This window comes from Homo sapiens, chromosome 11, assembly GCF_000001405.40.
Source record: "Homo sapiens chromosome 11, GRCh38.p14 Primary Assembly".
NCBI classification, from domain to species: Eukaryota; Metazoa; Chordata; class Mammalia; order Primates; family Hominidae; genus Homo; species Homo sapiens.
In genome coordinates, this window is record NC_000011.10 from 127,108,964 (window position 1) to 127,117,000 (window position 8,037).

Below are 8,037 nucleotides of genomic sequence, written 5' to 3' on the forward strand. Positions count from 1 at the left end.
CCACCTAGGGGACTGTCAGAAATAGAAATAATTGTAATGAAAAGGCACAGTCCTCAGTCCTTCTAATGCTGACCAAGCAAAATGGAGGGGAGATTTTCATAAGAGGACAGGACTCTGCTTTTAGCAGCAAAGCAGCCCTGAGGGGTGGGAGTGGAGGAGATTTAGGGGAAAAAAAGTCCAGGTGTGTGTTTACAGTTCCTTTCTCCTTCTGCCTTTCTCTCGAGTGACAGCAGGGATAAGGACAGAGGTGCTTTATATCCTTGGAAGTCAAACAGGGAGCCATTTATCAGAAATGGGGCCAGCTTGCGACACAAATGGAAAAGCATAGAAATGTCATAAAAGTGTATCTTCCAGCTAGGTGCAGTGGCTTATGCCTTTAATCCCAGCACTTTGGGGAGGCCAAGGTGGAAGGATTGCTTGAACCCAGAACTTTGAGACCAGCCTGGGCAACATAGCAAGACCTTATCTCAAAAAAAAAAAAAAAAAGCATATCTTCGGTGCTCTTCTGCTCCCTGTTTTTGCTCCTTCCATCCTTCCATAGAGCTCAAATTGTCTGTTTCTCCACTTGGCGCCCCTTCCCTTTCCTTGAGTAGCAAAACCCACTGACTGTGAACTTCTTCAGGCCAGGACTTTTCCTTGTTCTGGCATCCCCAGAACCAAGCACGATGCCAGCTTCCGGCTGCTGCTTTTAGTATTTGTTAAAGGAATGAACAGCTCTTCTCAAAGCTCCCAATCATACCTCGATGTAGAGGACTGAAAACAGCTGAGAGCTTTGCCTCTTCTCCTGGGACATCAGTATTTTAAAAACAGATCAAAGCGACATGGAAGAAGTTCAATTACATTGAATGGTAGAGTTCCAGACAGCATTTGATCCTTTCCTTTGAGCAAAGGACCTTCTCTATCCCTAAAACCAAATCACAGAAGCCTGTGGCCTGTCAGGGCTGCTGGAAATGGGTGAGTGTAACCCTCTGCATTTGCAAAGAACGGCTGTCAATTTTAATGCATTCATGGCCTTCTCCTGAAGGGGGAGGGGGAAAGCTTACTCTCTGTTCTGTGCTCCCTGAAATCATTCCATTTACATGCAGATTGGGAGCCTTCCTTCCTCTAAGTGGTCACAGAGAAGACTGAGCAAAGTTGAAATGATAATTTTCCTTAAGAAGAAAGAAAACAGTTTGGTTCATTTCCCCATGGCACCAGCTGTCATTTCTCTTTACTGTAGCACTCCTCTCTTTCTGTCCCCCCCACACCCCTTATGTGGCCTTTCTCATCCCCAGTCACCCCAGTTTTTGCATCGATAGGCTCCTTTAATTATGCAAATCTCCCAAGCCGCTAGTATCTTCCCAGTTTAAATGGAAAAAATCCAGCCCCAAGTCCTGCGGTTATCTCCCTCCTCCTATTATTTCTCCACCAGATCTGGGCCCTTTTATATTGAACCCGAGGAAAGATGAAAGGCCACATTGCTGGGAAATTAACAGGAGGGGGCCTAGTCATTAAAAAGAAGACCTTTCCCAACTTTTGATTTTCAAGAGACATTTGAAAATCTCTCCGTTCTGAGCAGCTGACTAAGGCAAAGACAACCTCTCCCAGAACAAAGCCAGAGCTTGCTCTGGTGGCCTGAGAATCCGGGCCCTTGGGGCTCTGTTCCTGACTCTTTCATGATCTCGTCCTGGAGAAGGAACTGGCTGGTTTCTACTGTCTGTTCCTACAATATTTAGAAGCTAGTTGGGCAGTTTGGCCCCAAGTCTGCCAGGAAGTAATGAGGAAATGAGAATGGGGAAGCAAGCCAGGCTCTGGCTGAAACATCCACTGACTTGCCTCTTCTACACGAAGCTCACTGAGGGTTACGATGTGAGAACTGGACAGGCGTCCAAGATAAGAGTCAGATTAAAGTCCCTTTTATATCTGTGTCTGCTGCCAAATGCTACCTATGGGAGGAAGATTGTTGGTTTCCCGGGAAATGCTAACAAAGGGCCTGCCCTGAAGCCCCTCCCAAAACAAAGTCCTTCGCCTTTATATCTCTCTCCTAAGTTGTAAGGCCCCTGACTCCCTCAGGAGGAAAGAGGTCAGGGATCTGAGAATGCACAAAAATAAACCCCTTCACATTCTTATCTTCCTCCATCTCAGTGGTTTCAGACTCTTGCTTGGGAGCATGACACTGAAAACAGAAATAGCTTCCAGAAGACTTCAGATAAGTTCATGGATAATAGAGCCAAAAATGATCACTAAAAGGGAAGTCAGAAAGATTCAGAGCTCCATCTTTAGACAGGTCAGTAGAAAAAATTCTGAAATGTGGGGGTCAGGATGCTTGGATTCTAGTTCCAGTTTACCCATTGGTTGGTTTTATGATCTTAAGAAGCTACTTTGCTTCTCTGGGTCTTAGTTTCTGCATCACTGAAATGAATGGTCTGGTCTATATGATTTTGTACCTGTCCAACACTGATATTCTCAGTCTGAAATGTGTGTGGGTGTGCAAGTGTCTGTGTACACAAAAACAGTGAATTGTTGTCCAATTCCCCCCTCCCCTCAAACAAAAACAAAAACAAAAACAAAAACAAAACAAAGGCCTGAGTAACCTAGGGACTGGACAAGGGCTTGCTCTCTGCCTGTCTGATCTTTCTGCAAACCTCTTCTTTCTTTTCTTCTTCCTTTAGCTGGAAACCCAACCACCAGGTTTGTGAAACAAAAACAGGGGAATGAAGATGCTCTGAAATGCTTATTTAGACAGTGCCAACATATCAAAAGAACAGTTGACACAAATGGGGTATCTAGTTACCATAGATCTTATGAAGCTCATTCAAAGAATGTAATGAAAAAAAATCAAATAATGAATCATTCAGGGAGATGCAAAGGATGGCTCCTATTCTTATTCTTTTGTTCTTCTTCGTATTTCAGAAGAGAAATAGATAGGAAATTAGAGCAAGAAGTTGGGGGATATTTCAGAAAGCAAAAGGGGCAATGATGAGAAGGATGCAAAAAAGATCCAAGGTTAGGAGAAGAGCAGAAACAAAGACTAAGTACATCCAACAAAATAAAACGTTGATAAAAACAACACAGGTGAAGAGTTTTCTGGGGATGCATCTTTAAAACAATCATGGGAGGGGAAAAGAGAGGGAAAGAGAGGGTAGCGTGTTGGGTGGAAGGATGTATCAAGGTCCAGCTTTCCTGCTTCACTGTCTTGCTGAAGGCACAAAGACCTGAGCCCTGGGCTAGAGAAGGATGAGTGTGATTCAACAGGGCACCAGAGTGTTCCTAGGACCCTGCTGGAGCTGGGCACTCTGCTCTGTGCCACACCCTCAGCTCAGGGGCCAGTTCTGCCTCCACAGTCCTGAATTGACCTGTGCTGAATGCTTGATTTATCAAACCCCCACTTACCCAGACATTCCTTTTCCAAAGTGCTTTGCCTGACATCGGCAATGCCTTTCTTTTGGCTAACTCTGTTCTGGCATCAGTTTTTGTCTTCACAGCATGCTGTGGTGGAAGGGGTCTGGGGCATGGATCAGACCAATGTGCCCTTGACTCAAACCCCTACTGGCTGTTTGATTTTAGGCAAGGTAGTTTCTTCCTTGATAAAGTAAGGCTGATAATAATATTATCTACCCTGAAGGCTTGTGGTAAGGATTAAGTGAGATCACAAATGTGGAAGGATTTAATACAGAGAGGTACTCAGAAAACCTGGGTGGCCTTCTCTCCCCAAGCCAGATCTAGCTACAGAGATGAGGAAGTAGCAAGAAGCCCTAGAAAGATAAGAAATGTGTCTAAATATGGTGGCATCCGGAGCTCCCCATTCTGGTCACCAGTGTGCTAATGGCTTTCCATAGGATTTGGATCCATAATCTCTGAGTGCATCTGATTATGTGTGTGTGATATGAGAAGATTAAAGGCAACTTCCCTCAAGTAGCGGGAGGTTTCTTGATGAAAGTTTTAAAGCTCTGTGAGCCCTCGGGTATATCTGCTGTCATAAAAAAGAAGTTATTTCCCAGGAGAGTGAGAAGAACTATCCCAAAGTTGCAGTGGTCCCTATCCTCCCTGGAGCCCAGGCATCAGGGACAAACACCACTGCTCACAGAATGCAGAGCCCAGTCAGCAACCATCCTCCCCTTCCAAAGGCTGTCGCTACATGTTTTCACTCTCTTCGTCAGAGGTGACAGGTTGGAGCAGGAGAGAGAGAGAGGCATAGGCAGATATTATAGCATTTCTTACTTTCATCTTTCACCCTTTTCCAGGTAGGAGTCAGTACATTGATAACTTCCAAAGAAGTGTTAGGTTAGAAAGATGTATCCTGCGTGTATCTCCTGTAGGGATCTCCTGGGTCTGACCTGGGCTCAGAAGAAACCAGATAAGGAAGCCAAAGAAGGGCAGAAGCCCAGCATTTGTCCTGGGTCTCTTTCCTTCCACAGCAGAGGAGTCCTTTCCCCTGGGAGGTGGTAGGAAAGAAAAAGTTCATGTAGAACACAAAACTTAGCAGTGCATTTTATGGGATGTCTTATATTGTTTGCTTTACTTTTGTTCTCTTTTTTTAAAGTGTGGATTATTTATTGTCCTCAGATAAATTGTAAACATATCAAAACTCATGTTCTATAGTCAGCCTGATTCACTGCTACCTGATGATTACTTCTCATGGTGGGAATGTGCATTTTATCTTTTCTCTCCTCCTTTCAAAATCTGCATAGAACTCATTTTCTTCCACCAGTAAAACTTCCTCAAATAATTTTGAATGGCTACGATTCCTCCATATTGTTCCATCTCCTTAGCACATCTAAATGTAAATGTAAACATAAATTTTTATGCTGTAATAATGAATTCTATTAATACGTATCATATATGGGTATTTTTTATATGTATACATATATGTGTGTATGTATACATATATATGTATATGTACACACACACACACACACATATATATGTGTGTTATATGTGTGTATACATATATATGTATGTATTCCTTATATGCACTGATACCTGATTGGATTGTACGTGCTTGCCTGTCCATTAAACCATACATAGAGCCATTCCTAGCAGGATATGAGAGGCTTAGGAAATTACCCCATGATTTTTTTTACAGGTAAAATCTGATTGAACAACAGCAGCTGCCTTCATCAAGGGAGCCTGGAGAGCAAACAGCGGAAAAACAGTCATCTGGCAACATGTTGCAGGAAAAAGACATTACAAAAGAATAACAAGCTTGAGGTATGCCAGGAGGGACGGGGTTGCTGCCACAGCTTGTAGCCTACTTGCTAGTTGACCCTGCCTCTTCTCTATGAGGAAGTGCCCTGGGAGCCAGAATGTGCCAAGCCCTGCCCATTACTCACGTTGGCTTTTCTGGGATGGATTTGATAGTAAGTTATTTGTGATAAGGAATGGCAGCCACTAGGGCCTGAGAATGTAAGCACACACCAAGTATTGCCTGTAGACGGTAAACCGGAAAACACAACTACTTTTCTGCACAATTTATAGATTTCTTTGGCTATTTCTAGATTTTTTTTTTTTTGCTTATATTTGAAAATAATTGTGGGAATTATTTAGTAAGTAAAAAAGTAAAGCCAGGCACAGTGGCTCATGATTGTAATCCCAGCACTTTGGGAGGCTGAGGCTGGCAGATCACGAGGTCAGGAATTCAAGACCACCTTGGCCAACACAGTGAAACCCCCGTCTCTACTAAAAATACAAAAATTAGCCGTGCGTGGTGGCAGGAGCCTGTAATCCCAGCTACTCGGGAGGCTGAGGCAGGAGAATTGCTTGAACCTGGGAGGTGGATGGTGCAGTGAGCTGAAATTGTACCACTGCACTCCAGCCTGGGCGACACAGCTAGACTCCATCTCAGAAAAAAAAAAAAAAAAAAAAAAAGGAAAAAAGAAAAAAAAAGAGTAAAATGTCTGTAATTATGCTTATCTGAGGTGGATTCCAGGTCTTGCTCTTTCTAACCATATGACTTCAATCAAGTTACTTCACTTTTCTGACACTTCGGGCAAAATGGGTTTAAACAATGCCTATTTTGAGGGGTTGTTGAGAGAATTATATATAACCTACAAAAGTGTATAGCACATCCTTGGTGTATAGTAAATGCTTAATGATAACTATTGGTATTAATATTTTCCCACTGTACATTACCCACAGTATCCAGCAATGGTATTGATGACCTACCATCACGCTAACATATTAATGATAATAACAAATGCAAACATCACTGGCATTAAAACCGTGGTCCACCCTGAGTCCTTGACCTTGCCCTCATTGTGTTGTTGTCCCCCTGATTTCTCTACAAGCTTTCTACGTGCTCCTGCATCCCTCTAGCTACCTTCTGTGAAACTGAACCTGGCCTGGTCTTAAGAGCGAAGACCTGAACCCTGGAGCCACTTGAGGAGCCAGAACGAGGGGTCCCCATATCCTTCTTAGACCTTGTTTATTCTTTCCATGACACCTACTCATTCACATATTGTGGAATTTCCTCATTGTCTCTCTTTCATTTAAAAGTCATATATAACATGAATCAAAATAAGAAAACAGGGACAGTCAATAACAAACTGTGTGGAGAACAAGGGACATGTGAGAGCACTCTGGTTCTCCAGGCTATCCGACTGGCAATGCTGCTTAAGTCCTATCTTGTACCCACTGCAGTGAGTAAATTGGATTGCTGAGCAAGAAAAAAAATGACATATTTCCCTTGTAGTGGAAGAACCTAAAAGGCTTTTTTCCGATTTTCAGATTCAGGTCACACAGCCCAAAACTCTTCTTATCTGCTTTCATTATATATATATTTAACATCTTATGATGAGGTTTGATCTTCTTTAAGGCTTTGATTAAATAGTCTTTGCACTTCCTGATGTGCAAGTTCATGATTTTCTATCAGAAGATGCCTTGATACCTCATATGGACTTTAGAATGAAAATGTTATTTTCACCCTCAAGCCATAATGGGTTTTTCATCATCGACATTATTATTATTATTATTATTTTATTTTTTGACAGAGAGACAGGGCGGAACGCCTCTCCCCGCCTAGCTGGGCCCTGTGGGCTCCCCTCCGCAACCCTAAGGCGGGAGGCCGAGGGCAGCGGGGAGTCGCGCTTCACCTTCGCCCCTCATTTGACCCATGGACTCATTAATGGAAGAACCGAGGCAAGCAAGTTCACGGGAAGAAATGCGCCCTCCCAACTGGAGGCCACCAGCTGCCCACTCGGGAACACCTCAGGGTGCCAACTGCATCTCTGCGGGGTCGCCAGCCATTTCTAGGACATATGTTTGTCCTTGTGGTATTTGGGCTGGAGGACTCCAACAGAGATCAAGTGTGGAGAGCAGTTCCACAGTCTCAAAAGAAAACCGCGGAAGTCTTGCTCTCATAGAAGTCATGACAGCAGTCCTATGACAGCAGTCCTTTGAAGAAGCCCATACATAACAAATGTATTTGTGGCATTAACAAAAAAGGACCACAACAGTCTTCTACTGAGGCGTGGCAGTGGGATTTCAGCAGCAATTTCCGCCTATACGCCAACTCTCACACATGGAGATATGTTGCCCTATTTTCTTCTCTAATTGCCTTACATATGTATATTGCTTTATTTCCCAACCTGAGAGTGTTAGATCCTCAAGAAGAAAAACTGTATCTCCCATTTTCCCGGTATGTCAATTTCACTCAGAACAATTTGATGCACACAGTTGGGATTTAATCCATATTTGCCAGTGAGATCTTAGAGTATCAAGAAAAACGATTCCCTCAATTCCGTGAATTTCTCTGAGGTTTGCATGGATACACTTCCATTGTTGACATTCAATGCATGTGAAATAGGCATCAGAGCTTTTTACCTGCCTCACTGGGGACTGGGAGGCTGCATGAGCTAATGTCTAGGAAGAACTCAGCACAGTTACACACACACACATGCACACACGGGTGGTGGGAGGCTTATTCCCACCTCTCAGGCTTGCTAAATTGGAAGTTTCACAAGCTTCCTGGCACTTTCTCCTGGAAATTGTGTGAGAATGTGCTCCTTGCCCTTCTTTCAGTTTTTAGCTCCCAATTCTAGTGTCCAAAGTCAGAAAGTG

The 8,037-nt window shown here is 43.4% G+C and overlaps 1 long non-coding RNA gene across 1 annotated transcript; it reads left to right on the forward strand.

Moving 5' to 3' along the window:
• Positions 1 to 538: 538 nt before the first annotated feature.
• LOC105369562 (uncharacterized) lies at positions 539 to 5,203 on the forward strand. The gene is made up of 3 exons (XR_001748079.1): positions 539 to 954; positions 2,125 to 2,266; positions 5,066 to 5,203. It is a non-coding gene; the product is annotated as an uncharacterized LOC105369562 (long non-coding RNA).
• Positions 5,204 to 8,037: the final 2,834 nt, after the last annotated feature.